Source organism: Homo sapiens, chromosome 5 (genome assembly GCF_000001405.40).
Source record: "Homo sapiens chromosome 5, GRCh38.p14 Primary Assembly".
Classification (NCBI taxonomy): domain Eukaryota; kingdom Metazoa; phylum Chordata; class Mammalia; order Primates; family Hominidae; genus Homo; species Homo sapiens.
This window is the reverse complement of record NC_000005.10, coordinates 43887079-43907341: the sequence shown is the minus strand read 5'-3', so window position 1 is coordinate 43907341 and position 20263 is coordinate 43887079. Positions and strand designations below refer to the sequence as shown.

The following is a 20263-nucleotide window of genomic DNA, read 5'->3' as shown; positions in this document are numbered from 1 at the left end:
GTAGTAGGTCATATTTGACTGGTGAGTTATCATTTGCTAACTTATGCCATAACACACAGTAGTTATATCTCCCTGACTAAGACTTGATTGACACAACATAGTTCAGTGCCAATGATGTGTTAGACATCTGCCAGGTAAAGGAGATACAAAGATGAATATTACAGGGTCTCTCTCCTCAAAAGATCAATATGTATCCAATAGATTCAATTATGTGATAAAAATTTAACAAGTATTTGCCTGTCATCTACTACACACAGCATAATATTGCCTGAGATACCAAGAACTTCAGTCCTTTAGGCCTTCCCACCCTTCTTTGGAGAATAAGATTTGCCTGTATTTTCTATATATTACTGTGTAATGAATTAATGCAAACTAAGCAGCTTCAAACAGCATTCATTTATTATCTCACAGTTTCTGTGGGCCAGGAATTCAGGCATAGTTTAAGTGGCTAGGCTGCTTATTGTCACACAAAACTGCAACCAATATGTTAATTAAACTGCCTTCTCATCTGAAAGCTCAATTGAGGGAGACCCTGTTCCCAAGCTCACTCAGGCTATTGGCATAATTTATTTCCTTGTGGCTCTAGGAATGTGATTCTTCATTCCAGATGGAGTTTGACACAACATAACATAATCAAGGGAATAACAACCCATCACCTTTTCCATATACTATTTGTTAGTAGCAAAACACAGTTACCACTCACACTTAAAGAGAAGAAATTATACAAGAGCATGAACATCAGAAGACATATATCATGGGGGTTCAGGAGGTGGTACTTCAAGAGTCTTCCACATGCTCAAAGAGTAATACAATAAAGTGTGCAGTCAAAAGGAAAATGATATGATACAGACCATACCATTCTGGTCCATACTGTTCTCTTAAATAACAGAGAGAACAGTGTGGACCAGAATTATTGGATAAGGCCTCATGGAGAAGGAGAGGTCTGGGCTTGTCTTTGAAGATTATATAGGCAAAAGCACAAAAAAATAAATAAAATAAGAATTCACTGAGCAATGACACCATTCATGATAATACAATAGCAGAAACAACTGTAGATTTACAGTAAAATGCTAAGACCCACCAGAATTTTGTAACTACTTTTCAAGAAAACTTCACATCGTTACCAATTTTGTCAAATGTTAGAATGTGAAATACCACCAGTGTACAAATCCAGAATAAATCCAGCTCCCCCAAATAAAAGCCCTGTTTAAAAGGCCTCATTACTAATTAAAAGAATGAAATAAAACACAATTTGCAGTTGCAGAAAAATGTGGATCCAGCCCAAAAGCCCATCAACCAACGACTGGATAAAGAAACTGTGGTATATATACAATGGAATACTACTCAGCCATAAAAAGGAATGAATTAAAGGCATTCATAGTAACCTGGATGGGATTGGTGATTATTATTCTAAGTGAAGTAACTCAGGAATGGAAAACCAAACATTGTATTTTCTCACTCATAAGTGGGAGCTAAGCTATGAGGATTCAAAGGCATAAGAATGATACAATGGAATTTGGGGACTCAGGGGGAAAGAGTGGGAAGGTGGTGAGGGATAAAAGACTACAAATTGGGTCCAGTGTATACTGCTCAGGGGATGGGTGCACCAAAATCTTACAAATCATTACTAAAGAACTTACTGATGTAACCAAATACCACCTGGTCCCCAAAAACCTATGGAAATAAAAAAATTTTTAGAAGGAATGAAATAATAATTTTATCCATTCCTACCTTCTTTTATGTAAGTAATTTAATAAGAATAATGTTACAGTATTAACCATTCAATTTAGCAGACACAGGAGGAGAAAGGGAAAGAAATAAGAGGAGACAGAAAGATGATTTCTATTTCTCCAACATTCTCACAGAACACTTATACTGCTGCAAATAATGGGTCCAAATATGGAGACACTAATGAACCACTAACAGACTACACAATGCAACTCATCATCATAATGCATGTTTACAATTCTTTATAGTCAACAGAAGTAGTTTTATAATTAAAGGAAGTGGGCATTTCTGGCTTCTCAAATTCAAATGTTATTTTTGATTTACTTCTAACTTCCTTATTTAAACATTCTTTTTTCCCAAATTAGCCAAGAGATTCTTTCTCAGTGAGCACAAACCACATGGAAAGTTACAGTTTTTAAGTTGTTCCCATTTCTTAGTTCTCTATAAACCAAACATAAATTACATTGCTTCAGATCCACAAATCTAACTTTAAAAATTTATATTTGGGTTAAGAAATGCATAGAAATTTCCTTCCCCAAAAGCTAATTTTAGGAGATCCATGTGAATTTTTAAATACCCAATTCCGCATTCTCAAACAGATCAAATGATCCAAGATGCTAGAAACATTTATTTATAGACATTTTGTCACCAATAATTATATTAAGTGATAAAATAATTATATTATTGAAATAAGATCAAAATAGAGATTTAAGTTAGTCACTTAAAAAATGGAACTTTCTGCAATAGCAGATAAACAAACACTGTCTAATCTCCCGGATAACGAGTATCTGGAGAAAGGTGTGACTCTGAGTGTACTAAGGAAAAAGCTACATAAAAAAAAAAAAGACGTGGTTCGTTCTGAGTCAAAGTTCCAGACCAGTTGAATCTAGCTATCAAGGCTAAATTCCAAATAATAGCCACTTTAACTATACTATTAATCAAATAAACTTTGTTTTTTGCATCTGCTAAAGATTATTTGGCTAACCTCTTGACTCATCTTATCATACATGCCCTCAGTCCAACCTTGTGTCTTGATTTCCTTTTCACTACTAATTATGGAAAAATTTTTCTCATTGTGGAAGTTTAATTTCACAGACTATTCTTGAACGCTACCATTTCTTCATCCATCCATTCAACCAGACACAACATCCCAGATAATTTTTTTCTCTTTTCCAGGCCCACTGCCTTCACACTTGGTTTAGGAACTTATTACCTTATTAAAGGACTATTAAAATTGCCTTGGAACAGCTCACCCTGCCTGAATTTTCTCCACTATGTCCTATTCTCCACATTGCTACTGTAATAGATTAACTTCTGACTTAGTATAACCAATAAGAGCTCCTCCTGGCCAATTAAAATGAAACAGGTTCTTGGTCTTTGCTTCAGTGGCATCTGATTCCCCTAAGCACCCCCATATTTGAGAATACCTTTCCCCAAGCTGACCTTTCCCTTTATCTTTATTCCATTTTTATTTTTTTTATTATACTTTAAGTTTTAGGGTACATGTGCACATTGTGCAGGTTAGTTACATATGTATACATGTGCCATTTTTATTTTTGTTGTTCTTTTCTCCTGCGGGCCCTACTCCATATCACTCAGTTTAATAGAATATCTTCCATTAAAATTTTCATAAACATCCCATCTTCCTTTCTTGAATGTGAACAGCATTCTGCACCAATCTCAGTTTTTATCTGAAAATAACTGGTATTGTAATTACTCCTAAGTAAGTCTTGCCTTTCTTGCTATAGTACAAGAAAATTTGTATTGTCTGTGTTTTATTCTCAAATATATTTTAAGCAAAGTTGGTTCTTAAAATTACTTATTGAATGAATGTAATAATCTTCAAAAATCTAATACTGTATATTGCTACATGTGACTACTTTATAAAAAGATATTCTTAGCTGGACGTGGTGGCACACGGAAAAAAAAAATTGGCTACACTACCAAAGTTCAAAACAGGCAAAGACAATGAAAGAGGGACTCTATTCGAGCTTTTCTGTAAAACTCATTCAGACTCCAAACTTTAGTCAATCTGCTTCACATTTCATTTAAAATATGACTAGAAATTTTCAACCTAATAACAATCATAGCCTCCAATTATTTAGTGCCTACTATGTGTAAGACTCTGTGCTAAGAGTTTTCCATGTATTTTTGTTTAATCCTCACAACAACATTGTGAGAGGAGTATTATTATCCTCATTTTGTATATGAGGAAACTGAGAATTAGTAAGGTGAAATAACTTTCCCAATACCTCATAATTAGAAAGTTGCAGAACCAGAATCCAAACCTGTATTTTTCAGACTTATCAAGGTTCATGTTCTTATCTACCTCACTTTAGTGTAGATTAGTCCTAACATACTAATACCAAAGGATATTATCTTAAATCTCATTTTTATTTCTTATGGAATTTGGAGGCTTTTGGCATACCAATCTGCATTTTATAGACATCAATAAATTACTTTTTCAGCTAATGATAATATTTGCAGGGCTGGTATTATTCAGAGATTTGATTTTGTTTAGAATTCAATTACTATTCATGACAACTTTAAGGCAGGTCTTGAAGATGAATTTTTGCATCTTCAGCCTGTTATGAAAAACTACTAAGATCACACAAAACTTAAGTTATACCATGCAAATAAAGTTTACAGTGATTGAATATAACTTGATACAAATGCTGAAAATAATAAATTATATTATGCCAGTAAGAGTCACTGAAAATGAAAACAAAATAATTGTGCAAGAAAAATGTTATAAGTATTGCCACTTACATCAAATTACAAAATATATACGTGTATATTTATGAAAAATAATGCTACTCTGAGAATATTCCAGAAATTTACCACCTTTCAATAATACAAGAATATATTTATAAATATATTAGTACACCTAAATATTTAACAGAAACATTGCTAAAGGAATGCTACTCTATTTTAAAAATTAAGTGTTTTTTTAATCGGCTCAAAGTAACCTAGAAATGTAAAGTAAAACCCAGTTTCCTAAATGTCCTATTGCTTTATGTACATTGGTTAGAGTCCATGGACTTGTGATTCTCCTTTTTCATTATCAGTAGAGAAAATAATGTTTTTATATGTTTGCCATATCCCTAGAAGATATCTATTGATTCAGTCATTCATTCAATAACTAAACTACTTATTTATAGAACACCAAACATGTGCCAGACATTACTCAAGGTGCCATGTATATAGCAGTGAGCAAGACATGTAAGATTCTTGCTGTCATGAAGCTTACCCTCCTGAGGAGACAGTCAGTAAACAAGCACACAAATTAATAAGTAAGGTTTTTTTAACTTTTACTTAAGTTCAGAGGTACATATGCAAGTTTGTTATATAGGTAAACCCATGTCATAAGAGTTGGTTGTACAGTTTATCTCATCACCAATGTATAAGTACTATTAATGGGTAAATAACCCATATTTACTAATAAGTATTTACCCATATTAACTAAGGAGTAAATAACTAATATTAACCCTAATACACATTAGTTATTTTTCTTGATTGTCTCCCTCCTTCCACCTTCCATCCTATGGTAGGCTTCAGTGTCTGTTGTTCCCCTCTATGTGTCCATGTGTTCTCATCATTTAGTTCCCACTTATAAGTGAGAACATGCAGTATTTCATTTTCTGTTTCTGCGTTAGTTTGCAAAAGAACTATCAACAGAATAAACAAACAATCTATAGAGTGAAAGAAGATTTTTGCAAACTGTTCATCTGGCAATGATCTACTATCTAGCATCTATAAGAAATCTAAACAAACAAGAAAAATCAAATAGCCCCATTAAAAAGTAGGCAAAAGATCAGGCACGGTGGCTCATGCTTATAATCCCAGCACTTTGGGAGGCCAATGGGGGCGGATCACTTCAGGCCTGGAGTTCGAGACCAGCCTGGCCAATCTGGTGAAGCCCTGTGTGTACTAAAAATACAAAAATTCACTGGGCATTGTGGCAGCTGCCTGCAATCCCAGCTACTCAGGAGGCAGAGATTGCAGTGAGCCGAGATCGCGTCACTACTCTTCAGCCTGGAAGACACAACGAGACTCCGTCTCAAAAAAAAAATAAAAAATAAAAAGTGGGGAAAGGACATGAACAGACACTTTCCAAAAGAAGACACACATGTGGCCAACAAGTATATGAAAAAAGCACACCACCACTCATCATTAGAGAAATGCAAATCAAAACCACAATGACATATCATCTCACAGCAGTCAGAATGGCCATTATTAAGAAGTCAAAAAATAACGGATGCTAGTGATGTTATGGAGAAAAAGGAATGCTTATACACTGTTGGTGAGAGTGCAAATTAGTTCAACCATTTTGGAAAACAGTGTGGCAATTCCTCAAGGAGCTAAAAACAGAACTACCATTCAAACCAGCAATCCCATCATGGGTTATATATCCAAAGGAACATAAATCATTCTGTCATTAAGTTAATTTTAGATAGTGTCAAGTAATACAAGGTCATTAAGAGAGTCTAACTTAAGAAAGAGTATCTCAAGGGTAATGTTAAATTGGGTGGTCAGGGGAAGTTACTTTGAGATGATGGCCTCTGAATTAACAGCTGAAAGAAAATAAGGAGTCAACACCACAAAGATCTAGGGAAGAGAATTCCAGGTGAGGGGGGATTGCAGGCAAAGTCTCTAAGATGGGAAGGAGCTTAACCAGTTCAAAGAAAAGGAAAAAGGCCAGTGTGAGCAGAGTGTTCTAGGGAGAGGGAAACAGGAGTAGATAAGGCTTAACAGGTAGGAAAGAGCCAACTCAGTGCTTTATTGACCACATGAAGACCTTTGGTTTTAAATGTGAATTGCAATAGGAAACAAGGGAATAAGGAGGTGAATGATGGGACATGATATGTACTGTAAAGAAAATTAGCTCCCACAATATTATTGAAACAATTAAACTGTTTATTATTGGGTATAAAAATAGAATTAAAATAGATGTAATCCCTGGTTTGGATTTGTAGAGTAGCTTTCTCCCATAGATTTTCTTTGGAAATCACCATCTACTTTATTTTACCAACATAGATGTCATTATTCATTTTACAGCTCAGGATTGAGACACAATAAGATTAATTCATTTTCCAACCCCTACAGGTAATAATGACCATCACACCATGTATGATGCATCCTAATAGCAATCTAATGAGGGCAAGTATCTTGCCTTACTGATTTCATTGAACACATTTCCTCATCCTTTACTTCTGATGGAAGAATTCCACAGAGTGCTTCTAGAAAACAAAATGCTGCTTGCCAAATTACAATCAGACAGCAGTCCTGCCTTAATTGATGAATGGTCTGAGTGTTAGGAGTCACCAAGCTCAAACCAACTAGTTTTAACCACTTAAAGTATTCAGTCACATCCTAACAACACATTGTAGGAAATGAGTGTCTTATTGCTTTTAGGAAACAGAATGTATATTTAAAAAATAAGGTGGTATTTGGCGTGCTTTACCAACCTCACAGCACAAACAAGTCAAATAAACACCATCTTCCAGTTTTTCAGCCCGGAGATCAGAAGTTTAAAAGAAGTCAATATTGAAAGTCAACCCATTAACCTCTGCCTCTCCATTATCTTGTGTTAGACTTTCAGAGAAACTTCCGTATAACTACAGCTCCTTAAACCATGTAATCTCAAGAAGAGCTAAGAGGACTTGACTTGTCATAGGAGATGTTAAAATGTTGTTAGTAGATTTAATGAAAACTTAAAAGACCATAGAAACTTTTTTACAGGCCAATGAATGTTATTTCTTAATCTCTCAGTGGGTCTTTGTTGGATGTATTCCTTTAATAATGTGTCCACAAAAAACAAATGCCTCAAAAGGATGTGTTGACATAATAAGAACACCAAAATGTTTTTGAAGGGATGAGCTTCTTTAAATGTTTTTCTTGAAATTATTAAGGGTAAGAAAGTTGTTGGTGGGAGACTCTCTATACTAATCAAGTATCCCTTCATGGCAAAGGATTATGCTAGCAAGGCCCATTTCTTTCTTCTGATAATTTGAAAGGATAATAACAGCTTCTTGTTGGTGTCCTTAACCTTGTCCACACCTCTGTTCATAGTCCTTTCATTCAATTCTTTCTAATTTGACCATACCATCTGTCTTCTGTTGAGATCCTGACTGATGCTGTACCAGACTTCTGATCAGACATAGACCAGAATCCTGTTGAAAGTACAGCCTCTAATGATCTTTCTGAACTGTCATGACCATCTCGTTCTTTGTTCTTCACTGCCCTTAATGTTGTTATGCTGTCACACTGATTCCGGGGATCAAGAACTAGTTAAAAATCACAGCTTAGGCCAACCAGTATTTCTTAAGCATCTACTATGTGTTGGAAACTATGGTTGGAAATGGGAAGATAGAGATGCAGAAAATGTTGGCCCTGCAACATTTCTACATCTACACATGATCTCAGGATGTCATATTCCATTGGGCAAATATACCTTCTCAAATCTAAAAGCCTTCAAGAATCCTTCTCATCGATGTTTCTCCCACATCACACCAGCCTATGTGTGAAGAAAGAAAATGCAGGAGGCTGGCTCTGCAATAATTACAGTCCAGAGACTGCAAATAGTGATGCAGTAATTACAGTCCAGAGACTGTAAATAGTGATGTTTGGAGAGTTCCAAATACACAGGAATTCAGGTACATGAGGGAAAGTAGCAGAAAGACAAGGCTAGAGATTGAGTTGAAGTCAGATAATAAAGAGAATTGAATGCCATACAAACTAACTTATTTGCTTATAATTTGATAGGAAATAGTAGATCATGAAAGTTTCCCAAACAGAAGAAGGAAATGATCAGATAAAATTTTAAATTTTATTGGAGCAATAAACAATGAATTCAAAATTATAGAAAGATGAGGGAAGAAGAGTAGGCACAAAATCCTTACAACTGTCCCGGTAAAAAAACTAAAATAGTGAACACAAAGAGGAAGAAACAAACACGAAAGACTAGAGAATATGAAATACAAATGGAAACAGCTCATTAAGTCTAGAAGTAACATTGAAGAGCAGAAAATTTGGGGTAAATTGTTGTGGGTTACATAATTGTTAACCTAGAAATCTTTGCTCTCAGCTCAAGATTTACTGATTTTTCTCCTAAACCATACTACTACTCTTTGCAAATTACTGGCACATTTCCTACTTAGAAATAATTAAACAAAATGTCTATTTGACCCATTATTGCTCCATTTCAGAAAAGTTTCTGAAATGCATGTTTCAATAAAATCATATGGTGATCATCACTCTGTTAGAAAGAATGTAGTGTGGTTTTTCTGTCTTACATCAGACAATAAGGAAAACATCGAAATCTTTGTAAAGAAGAACTGAAGCTATAATCATGGCTCAAACATGATTCCATCCCATTTCACTTTCTACATAAACTTTCTTTGAAAATGAAATGAGTGAAAGTAGGAAATGTTCTTTCTGCTTTTAAAACAAGGGAACAGAAGGTAACATAATTATACAAATACAAGATGAATCAATATCATATGGAAGAGGTTGTTATGATAGTATCAATGATTGTTAAAAGCAAAAATATTGAAGATTGTTTGAACAGCAAACATATTTCTACTCAAATATAAAATCACCTATACACAATAAAGCAATTCTTAAAATTCTCCTCTCCCATTTGTTTCTCCATATTTAGGCTTCAGAGAAATATTCTAAAACAAAATCAAGGCTATCATATCTTTAGCATCCTTTAAGTCTCAGTTTAGCCCTTGACTCTATTATCTTCATGTCCACTCCAAGATTTCCTCTATTCCCACAGTTTTCTTTACCATCTCAATATTCTATAGCTCCAGGCCTGCTACCCCTACTAAATTGAAACCCAGTTTCTTTTTTCGTCTACTGGAAATTTCCACATAGATTTCTTGCAGGTGCCCCAAACTCAATATATCTAAAGCAGAATCCATCATCTTCTCTCTTCCACCTCTGAATCAGTTCACCCTTCCATCACCACTATTTGCAAAGCAGTACATTTTCCCATCATTCTTCTAATCTTGAAATCTTGACATCATTGGAATTGAACAATGAGAACACTTGGACACAGGATGGGGAACATCACACACCAGGGCCTGTCATGGGGTAGGAGGAGTGGGGAGGGATAGCATTAGGTGATATACCTAATGTAAATGATGATTTAATGGGTGCAGCACACCAACATGGCACATGTATACATATATAACAAACCTGCACATTGTGCACATGTACCCTAGAACTTACAGTATAATAAAAAAAGAAAGAAGGAAGGAAGGAAGGATGGAAGGAAAGGAAAGGAAAGGAAAAAAAAGAAAGAAAGAAAGAAAGAAAGAAAGAAAGAAAGAAAGAAAGAAAGAAAGAAAGAAAGAAAGAAAGGAAGGAAGGAAGGAAGGGAAATGAAAGGAAAGGAAAGGAAAATCTTGACATCATCTTTTCCCACTCCTCTATTTTATTTGTTCCTATAACATTTCCATTCAAATGTATGTTATCCTTTACCTTGAGGGACTTCACATCTGGATTAGAATGTGTAATAGTTGTGTATACTATACCATACACTTCACAGCAAAATGTTATTTAAAAAAAAAAAAAAAAACCAAGACTGGCTCTGACCAAAATGTGTGGCCTTAGGCAAATTTAAATTTCTAAATTCCAGTATCCTCATCTATAAAATGGGGATGACAATAGTAATGGCTTTGTAGGGTGGCCAAAAGAATGAGATGACATATGCATATAAAAAGACATAGCACCATACTCTGCAACTAATAAGAATTCAGTATATTTTAGCTACTTGTATCATAATTACTTCACCCAGATCCAATGCATTGCTTATCATAGCCAAACTAACTTTAATTAAACTTAGATCATGACACTCCTTTGCTGAAATTCCATTTATCATTCATCTAAATCATCAGAATATATTTATCCAAATTTTTCCTCCTGAAATTTGTATTATTTGTATATAAAACCTCTTGCTTATGATGGTATTGAAACATCATACAAGATGCTTCCCTACTTTGTCATCAATAACTCTAAGAACCCAGGGCCTTGAAAATAACCTTTTTGGGTCCCTCTTCTCACTCAAAACCAAAAAAGGAAATACCAACTTTGGATGCATTTTGTTCTTAAACTAAAGCATTAAAAGTCCTACTCACATCATTCACTTTTGACTGTGAAAGCCTGGAGTCAGTATCAGGTATGAGTATAATTTCTTTTGGCATGTGATGTCTGTGGCCTAATCAGAGACTAAATCCCAGATCGTGGAATCTGAGTAACTAACTTAGTGGTGGTGTTTTCAGGAACAGGTGGAGCCCTGCATGATTCTCTATCTCCTGCGGTAAGTGAATCTGACAACTCTCTGAGGCAAGAAAGTGATTCAAACCCTTTTCTGAATGTTGAGGGTTTGACATTAGTTTTTCTCTCCATTTTTAAACCCTATTTTGTTTCAAGAAAAATTCAATCCATCTGTTTCTGATTCTTCAAAACACTGTTGTTTTGTAAGAACTATTTGATGTCACAAAGCCTGATGAGTCTCAACAAAGCCATTTGCTTCCCAATAGAAGGCTATAGATCTCTCCAAGGAATTATGAAACTAGAACCTCAGGCATCTTAGACCTCACAGATCTATCACATTTCTAAAATTTCTCCCAGCTTGAATTTTCTTTTTGAAGAGCATCTCAATAGGAAATCGCTCCCAACAGCCTCATTAGCCAGACACTTCAAAATGTAATATCCAGCTCATGTTTTTCTTTTCAGGACATTTCAATCCTAAGAACTCTGTCACAAATAGGTAACATTCTATCTGAAGAAATAACACCTTGCAATAAATATTTACATTTTCTACTTTAATCCTGTAATTATGACACTTTTCAAACAAAACAATAGCAACGTCATACGACAGGTCTGAAATAGATTTTTGAGAGAAATAACATACAGGGAAAAAGGGTAACAACAATGAAAAGGCTGTCTTTGACCAAATAATCATTTTAGAAATTTCTAGGAAATTAACTAGTAAATGCAGAAATCACTTCATAAGAATAAGCTGTAGAACATAGTTTTATTTTTCTTAGAGTAAGTTATAATTGTAAATAGAGTCCTGAGGCTCTGAACTGAAGCAATGGGGGAAATTAAATTGCAAAGTAATTACGAAAGATGTAATTTAGCCAAAATATAATTTGACTTCTTGATGTAACCCAGGCTCTTGTTACTGCTTTCTCAAATAAGTCAGTGAATTAAGAAAAAGGAAATAACTCAAAATAATGTTTGTTTTTAACTTCATCAATCTGGTATCAGTATTTTCTATGGAAGCTGAATTTCATCAAATCCTCAAAGAGAATTGTTCATGCTAATGTATTAACATATTATAGTCTGAAAGGACCAGGATTCCAAAATACCTACCTAATTAAGTATAGGAATACAGTTGCATTTCTTTTTATAAAACTTTCCCTCAAAATATATTTACAGTGATGACTATGTTATAAATATGGAGCCAAGTCTGGGCTCAATTAAAGATCAAAATGGCCATTGTCTGGTTACTTGGGCAATACAAGACAACAATAGGTTACCAGAAATATATCAATATATGTAAATGGAGATTTCAACTAGTGTTAGTCTTTTTTACTTCACTTGGTAATTTTTTGTTTTGAAGTACGGGATTATTCCATGAGATAAAATTCTCCAAATTATTTTTCTTTTGCTCAGTTAAATATGTTAAGGTCAATTACCATGTGAAACAGACATCAGTTGAGGTACCTCAAAAGAGAGTGCAGTCTCAGGTGAAACTGCTAAGAAGCAGAACAGATTTCACTTTTACTTAGATCACACAAAGTTATAATACCCCAGGATGGGTGGGTGTGTGCACCCAAGACACTGACATCTTGCACGCATTCTTTTTCCTTTGATAGAGAAATAACCTAGTTAAAATGGAAATGTATTAGGAAAGTCAAACAATTAATTGATGCAAGAAAGGTTGTTTCACATTTTGTGTAAATCAAAGCTAAAAATTAATTTAAGGAGCAGCACTGTATTGTAGACTAAACACAATTTGGCCTGAGTATAGGGTTTGGTGTGGGTGTCAAAGTTGTTCTGGTCTACACATGGTCAGTAATCCTCAGCAGAAATGTTAACTCAATTTGTCAGTATTATCTTTATGTCAACAGTAATGCTTAAATATTTACAATAGGCATAGTACGCTGAGAGTTAGTAACGTAAGATAAATTGGAAAAATGCTAACAAAATGGATGGTACTAATAGAAAGCCCTGGCACTACAGACTCCAATTTTATATACAAGAGGCTTGCCCCAAGGTAAGATTTTATTAGGTTCTATCATTGATATGCTGTTCCAAAGTTTCCTTAAAAAATAAAAAAGATTAAAAGCTTTTTAAAAGGAAGCAAAGCAATGAGTTTACTAAATTTATTCCACACAATACAGTCAACATTTGAGTCCAAAGTACATGCTACCTACTATTTTTTTAAATAGACATAAATAATACTGCACAACTTGAACGGCTATGCATTCTCCAGATAAACTGCATTCTTAAACTTCCCACAGAATTAAATGGCTACCATGTTAAAGTATAACAAAAATCTATGAAGGAAGAGAAAACGCCCTTTTTCTTCTTTGATTTCTCCAATCCTGCTTCTGCTGCTACTGTTTGTTTCTTTAACAGAAGTGATATGTGTTTAAATTCTTTGTATCCTAAGTTCATTGAAAAAACAGAGATAGATAAAACTAGTGAGTACATCTCATGTACTAAAATACTGCCACAGCACCAACCCACTTAACAAAGAGTATTATGTTTTGCTGCTCTCCACCATTCAAGCTGTCCTGTGTTTTATTGTGACTGTTTGAGGAGAATTGATGGAATATGTGCTGAGAAATGTATAGTGAATTTTTCCTCTGATACCTGCTACAAAGCATAAGATCCCCTGAAGGACTTTATTGCATTTTATCACCAAAAAAGCACATTAGCACTCTATCCCATTGAATCTTCGCTTTCCTTTTCCATGAGGGAAGTTTCAGTTCCAGCTTGTAGAGAAGAAATCTAATAGAGGTAGTTGTTCACCTAGCTTCAAAAGCAACAGTGTTCATCACTGTTGTAGAATCTTCTGGTTTTCACTTATTTCTTCCTCTTATGTCACATATACTTGGGTGATTATCAAGCTCTTAAGCTTCTAGGAACTTTTGAGAGAAGGACTGAATAACCATTAGTATTGATTGTTTAACCTGGTAAATTATGAGAAGAGAGTAGAACAGATATCATTAAACCCAGTCACTTTTTTTTAAGAATCCACATTCTAACTAGGCCTGTTACTATTTCCATTTTAATAACATGCCATTTAATATTCATCTTAATTCCTTTATAAGAAATACTTTGAGAGGACTATACATACTGGGTAATAAAGATTAATAGCCAAGTTAACAAATACAGTAGATAAAGGAAGAAAGGGTGACCTATTAGATGTCAAAAAGAGGAATTCCAAAAGAAGCCGTGCCTTGTGAAAGACAGTGGTTAATAGAGTTTTAGAGATACCTGGGAAATCATTGTTCCTCATAGAAGTAATAAAATAGGAAAAAATGTTCTTTCTAAGTAATTAATGTATTAACAATACTACCCAATCACAGAGGGACATCTCTTTTTTTCATATATAAATCTATACCCCTAATACTGATTAATATTGATTTTGGTTATAACAATTACCCATTATTTGTATTTTTCACTTGTTGTTTTTATTACTGTCAATAATGATGGCTTCATAAAAGGGACAAATTGACCACAGTTTACTCAAGGACATACATAGTGAAGTTATCATGAACAATTAAAGCAGGTCTTCAAATAACGTCATTTCCTTCAACATCATGCTGTTATAATTTCGATGAGGAAAAAAATCTCTTCCCAGGCAGAACATGTTGAAAACTGTACATTCTCCTCATATCTGCATGCATTTTCTCTGGGTAGTTCAGTTTCCTTCCACATCCTAAAGATGTGCACATTTGATTAATGCATATATCTAAATTGTCCCCATAGAGTGAGTGTGAGTTTGGGTGTAAGTGAGTGTGCCCTGCGATGGGATGGAGTCCTGTATAGGGCTGGTTTCCATCTTGCACCCTGAGCTGTGGGGATAGACTCCAGCCACTCATGACCCTGAACTGGAATAAGTGGATAAATAATTATCATACTTGTTTTTATTCATCTTTCTTAACTCTGTGTATAGCTCACATTTATTTAAATTTTTAATGTTAGAAGTGTCTTGGTCTTTATTTAAGAATTTGTTGATGTTTTTGTAACCAGAAATATGCCATAGGAACTTAAGTCTTATATCAATCAATTAGCCTATAATAAAATTTGTTTCATTGTATGTCATTTCACTTGAAGTATCAGTTTCCAAGAACCCGTAGATAAGCATGGGCTTATATACAAATGTGTCCTGAGTACATAAAAAGTAAGTTGAATGCCTAAAGTGCCCAAGATTCTTCCCATTGGTCCCAACCAACCACACTCTAGCCCCACTTCCTACAGTTCCTCTTGACTTTTCCTTTGATATGCTTCCCTCTTTTTAAACACATTTTTCCCTCTACCTCAGTTGTCCTTCACTCTTGTCCACAGGGGAAATTCTTCCCTGTTCTTCAAGAACTTGCTTAAATGTCACCTCCTTTTGCCACACTCTCTTAGGTAGCTGGAAGCATTCTCCTCTTGGTTTTTATAGAACTACTGTTATTATTATTACTTATTATTAGTAATTATTATTATTGTTATACCAGTGGTCTCAGTGTTGCTGGCTTCCACACAAGAAAATTAACACCTTGAGGACAAGGCCATTTATCTGTGTATTCCTGGCACATATCACAGTATCTGGTATGTAGCAGATTATCTATTACTACAACAATGCTGTGTTACAAATCGCCCCAAAACTCAGTGGGTTAAACAACAATTTGCTATTTCTCAAAAGTCTGAAGATCAGTTGAGTGGTTTTTGGGGGTCGTGACTTGGTTTATTCATGCATCAGTAGCGTGCAATGGGTTGGATAGGCTCTGTTGTCCTTGGCTATTCTACCACATCTTCAGGGTCAGCTGGTCTCAGCTCTTCTCCATGTGCATCTCACATTTCTTCAGCAGGCTGGTTCAGGCACTTACTCATGACCAGGCAGAGATGCAAGAGCAAGCAATCTCAATCTTGCAAAAGGACAAGTGAAAATGCATAGGTGCTTCTTAAGCCTCTGCTTGTGTCACATTTGTCTATTGGCAAAAGCAAGGCCCATGGCCAAGGTCAGAGTCAGTGTGAGAAGGCGCTATCAAAGGGCTTGGATACAGGGAGGTAAGAAAAACTAAGGTCATGAGTGAAAGTGATGTATTGCAGGAAATGATCAATAAATTCTTGTTATATGAGTAAAGGGCTCTGAGGGACAGATTTATTCATGGAAAGATTGGGTAAAATTGTAAATTAGGCAGTTACTCTTCATCACTCTCTTCATGGCAACATGATCTAACAAACAAAGAGAGGTCTAGCACAGAACTTGGCCTACTATAAGCGCTCATAAATATCAGTTTCCTTTCTCTTCCCCCTCTTCAGCCTTGTTTTCCTTTTTACTTAGGCTTCTATTTCAGCACTTTCTTTCCCAATCCTCTAATGATCTTAAACAAAGAATGACGGAAACTCCTCTCTGAGACGATATCCTCAATTTGCTTCCCTTCTCTTCAAAACTTATCTTTCCTCTATCTAATTTCCCAAGAAGTTATCAAGAATTGGTTATCAGTTCTAGTGAGCTAATTTCCAGGTGTTAATGACTATATTAATATTTGCATTTTAAATGCCTTGACTTAAACTAATGAGTAATTTCAGGAACAATCAAGGAAAAGTGGAAGCTTTGGAGACTCCTAAAATCACTCCAACTCATGGATCTCCTATTCCAGTTGCCCTGGGTTTTTGATATTGATCTTGAAGAGCCAAGGCAGGCAGAAGGCATCATAAACCAATAACTTTCATTCCTAAAAATGTCTGATTAAGTAGGTTAGATTGTACAATTTTAATATCTTTAGTAAAGATAATACAAGGAAGGAAAAGGAAATATCCATTTAGTGCTACCACATACAATAGGAAACTGAGTTTTGAGGAGGGTACACAAATAAAATAGGATGCTTTTCCTCAGTCATTAAAATCTAGATCAAGATACAGACCTTCAATCTAACCATAGCAATCTATTGTATGTGTTCCCCAAAAGCTAGCTTGCTTTTTTAAGGTACTATGAGCCTCCAAGGAAAAAGTGATTTGTTTCAACTAAAACGAAGAGGAAAGTCTTGAGAAAAAAAGATATATTTCTTAGAAATCTTAAACAATGAGTTTGACAGTGGTAATTAGAAGGGCATTTCTGGCTTAGTGAATAATACAAATCAAAGGTGGTATGAAAAAGTTCACTACGGAGCAGTGAGTAATTGAGGGTGGCAAGATACAGAGTGTGAGTGTGAGAAGTTGCCTCCAAGGACCGGTTGGTACTTCGAATCAGACTGAGTGGGTCTAGCACACAAGCAAACTAACACAAGAACAGAAATCCAAACACCACATGTTCTCACTTATAAGTGAGAGCTGAACAATAAGAACACATGAACACAGGGAGGGGAACAACACACACTGGGGTCTGCTGCAGGGTGGGGTAAGAGGAGGGAGAGCATTAGGAAAAATAGCTAATGCATGCTGGGCTTAATACCTAGGTGATGGGTTGATCTGTGCAGCAAACCACCATAGCACATGTTTACCTATGTAACAAACCTGCACATCCTGCGCATACACCCTGGAACTTAAAATAAAAGTAAATGTAATATTTAACCTAGAGATCATCTACAATTTCCTCCTTCTTTCCAGTCCATTTGTATAGTAGGTACTGGCAATACAATAGTAAGTTTTTCAATATTGTCAAGTCTGTTACTTCTCTTTCCATCCCCACCATGGCCCAAATTGAAGCTATCACATCTCCTGCCCAGATCACATCATCTTCTTTTCTGGCCTCTCTGCTTTCCTCTTGCTCATCTCCCATCTATTCCCCAAACAGCAGCCAGAATACTTTTAAAAATAAAATATTTTCTTCCTATTACTTAAGAGCTTCCCAGTTAGCTTACTGTGTTAGCTTACTAACACAGGCCCTACATACATCAGCCCTTGCCTATCTCTCCAGTGATGTCTGTGTCATTCTCAGTCCAACTTGGTATTTCAGCCATCTTGGCCTCGCTTCAATTCCCTTCATAAGTCACATTCTCCCTGTCATCTCTAAATCTTTACATGAACCATTCCCCCTGTAGGAGCATTCTTTCTCTATTTCCTGACCAGTCACAATTCACTAACTTCTATTTTTTCCTCCCTCCTTTTTATATATATGTACCTCCCAAACAAGATGTCAGCTTTTTCATTCTTTTCTCAGGCTCTGTTATCTAGAGAACATGGGCTAAAACAAGAGTCCATGAAAAGGCAGCATGACCTCACAAGAAAAACTGATAAACCCAAGAAATTGTAGTTATAGAGAACAATGAAAAACAAATTGATTGCAGGCAATCCATGAAATCCAGAGCTACTAACAGCAAAATAATAATGTAACATCAGTATATTACTTTTGAAAGATAATAATGTGCTCATTTCTTTTGTATGAGTATGTAACTACCTCCTTGTTGGCCTGAAGCGTTCATCTACCTAGGGAGAGATTGAGTTTGTTATGGAAGGAATGTGAAAAGACAGGCTTGTATAATACTCAGCCTCTGATATTCTAAAATAAAATCTTTTTATAAGAAGAAAATCTTACAAGCCAGTTATTGTCTTAAGAAAGCATCTGCTCATTTCTTCTGCCTCTCATTTGTCCCATATCAGGACCAAACTTGGAGACCATGTTCATAGAGCCTCTGCATAATACAGAATGGCTAGGTCATGAGGCATGCTGTTCTGTAGCTCACAACAAAATCATATGAGGGAGAAGGTGTGAGGAAAGCTATTCTCTTCAGACTACAATGTATGAACTGAGAAAGAGAGAGACATACCAGTAGACAAGACATGGTCCCAATTTTGCCCTGGAAATGGAAGACAGGTTAGATAAACGAATTAGCATAGAGAAGCTCGGTCAGGTCTTTTGTGTACATTCCTAATTTAGGACTCAGTACAGGGAGCCCCACAACAAGAGGGTGGCCCAGAAAAGTGAAGAAATTAATGCATTACAGTCAGGCAGAGAGAAATCCTGAAGTGTGGTTTTCCTCGGCTATCATTCCAAGTAGCAAAAATAGAACTGAATCTGAGTGGAGAATTTACAGATGTTGGGGAGTTGGGAGGCTCTCTGTTAAGGGAGGCAAAGTACATCACCCAGAGTGGACTTAAAGGGGTCTGGGGCACCATCATTAGATAGGATGCAAGTGAATGTTCCTGGGAGTACCAAGAGGAACACCAACCACTGATTTCAGCTGCAAATACGAGCAAGACAAATAACAACCATGTAGGCGTGGGACATTAGCCCACAGACCAGAGAAACAAGGGACACCTTGCCCAAGGACTCCTAGTTTTTCTTTCTGATACATACCACTCCCTTGTCCTCACCCATTGAACAGATACCATCTTAGAAAGGAACCAGGAGGAAGAACAGAAGATTTAAACTTTTAAGAGACTGAGCATTTGCTCCTAGAAAGATTGAACTTTACCTAAGTGGAGTATTTAAATTATAGGACCAGAGTAAGGTTTAAACACATTTGAACATTTAGTCTCATTACTTTGGAGAGAGGGGGACCCAGGTTCAGAGAGTTTTCTGCTATCTGAAGAGTAGGGCTCAGTAGGGAGATTAGATTAATTATAGATAAAATTAATGTTACATTTTTCTGCACATGTAAGTTATAGTATGTGTTAATATTATTTACCTACCCTGGTAAATAATAATAGTAATGGAGATATTGTTGGCAATATTGACTGGGTAGGGTTCTTTATCGCCAACATTAGTGGTTAATATTCACCTGTCATGACATTCTCAACACCAGGAACAATGTCTTTAAAAAAAGAGCCTGGAAAAATAGTTTATTGAATAGACAGAAGTAATAATACAACTAGGACTGGAATAGTGTGTTCATTGAGATGAGTGGCTAGAGATGTCACAGAACTTAGGGAAGAAATTGTGGAAAATCTTAAATATCCAACTAAGGAATTATGTCTATAAGTATTGAGAGTAAATTTATACTTTTAAGAATAAGAATGACACCAGAGAAATCTGTGCTTTAAGATTAACCTGAGAGTTCTGTAGGGGATAGTTTGGAGATGGGGTATCAGCATATGTGGACATCACAGATGGGGCCAAACTTGGAAGAGATGAGTCCTCAGACATATTTTAACTAAAATCATCCTGTCATCTCTACTTCCAAAAAATATGGGGCATTTTATGATATAGAATCAAGTGAAAATGAACATTCAGACAGTCTTAAAATGGAAAAGATGGAAAGCATACAGTGCAGGCCACTGGAGGGGTGAGTGTAAAAGCAGGAAGGAAGAATGTCTTACAGATGGATGGATGGAAGAGAAGATGAAAGCCTAG

The 20263-nt window shown here is 35.6% G+C and overlaps 1 annotated feature.

The window, feature by feature from the left end:
* Positions 19506–19675: an enhancer, noted in NCBI's record as "experimental_85525 CRE fragment used in MPRA reporter constructs". NCBI's record gives its function as "activates a minimal promoter by MPRAs in K562 erythroleukemia cells, with activity observed for both the introgressed and non-introgressed 5:43887854 variant alleles {active_cell/tissue: K562}" and the evidence as "EXISTENCE:reporter gene assay evidence [ECO:0000049][PMID:34662402]".